At 49.3% G+C, this 956-nt stretch overlaps 1 annotated feature.

Annotated features, from left to right (window-relative positions):
* Positions 366-555: a silencer, noted in NCBI's record as "fragment chr19:1722988-1723177 (GRCh37/hg19 assembly coordinates)". NCBI's record gives its function as "represses an EF-1alpha promoter that drives an FKBP-Casp9 reporter gene in an ReSE screen in K562 erythroleukemia cells {active_cell/tissue: K562}" and the evidence as "EXISTENCE:reporter gene assay evidence [ECO:0000049][PMID:32094911]".

Raw genomic sequence — 956 nt, 5'->3', positions numbered from 1 at the left:
GTGTGTCCTTTTGTGTCTGGCGTCTCTCACTGAGCGTGACGTCCTCAAGGTGCATCTATGCTGTGGTCTGGGTCAGAACTTCATCCCTTTCTGAAAAATTTTGTTTTATTTTATTTTATTTTATTTCTTGAGACAAAGTCTTGCTGTGTCACATAGGCTGGAGTGCAGTGGCACAATCTCAGCTCACTGCAACCTCCGTTTCCCAGGTTCAAGCAATTCTCCTGCCTCAGCCTCCTGAGTAGCTTAGATTACAGGCGCACGCCACCACGCCAGGCTAATTTTTGTACTTTTAGTAGAGATGGGATTTCACCATGTTGGTCAGGCTGGTCTCAAACTCCTGACCTCAGGTGATCCACCCATCTCGGCCCCCCAGAGTGCGGGGATTACAGACGAGAGCCACCACGCCTGGCCCAAAATTTTTTAAACGGTGTTAAAACATATATAAATAAAGTTTCCCATCTCAAGCTTTTTTTTTTTTTTTTTTCTGAGACAGAGTCTCACTTTGTTGCCCAGGCTGGAGTGCAGTGGCACGATCTTGGCTCACTGCAACCTCTGCCTCCCGGGTTCAAGCCATGCTCCTGCCTCAGCCTTCCAAAGTGCTAGGATTACAGGTGCCACCACGTTCGGCTAATTTTTGTATGTTCCGTAGAGACAGGCTCTCGCCACGTTGCCTAGGCCGATCTCAAACCCCTGGGTTCAAGCCATCCTCCCAACTTAGCCTCCCAAAGCACTGGGATTACAGACATGAGCCACCATGCCCAGCCCCCATGTTACTTTCTATCTCTGGATCTGATGACTCTAGGGCACTTTCATGCGTGGAGTGACACAGGATTTGTCCTTCTGTGTCTGGCATCTCTCACTGAGTGTGATGTCCTCAAGCTTCATCCATGCTGTGGCCTGGGTCAGAGCCTCATTCCTTTTTGTGGCTGAGTTGTGTGGATCCATCCTTCTGGTGA

Source organism: Homo sapiens, chromosome 19 (assembly GCF_000001405.40).
Source record: "Homo sapiens chromosome 19, GRCh38.p14 Primary Assembly".
Taxonomy (NCBI): domain Eukaryota; kingdom Metazoa; phylum Chordata; class Mammalia; order Primates; family Hominidae; genus Homo; species Homo sapiens.
The sequence above is the reverse complement of the archived record's forward strand: the minus strand, read 5'-3'. Positions and strand labels throughout refer to the sequence as shown.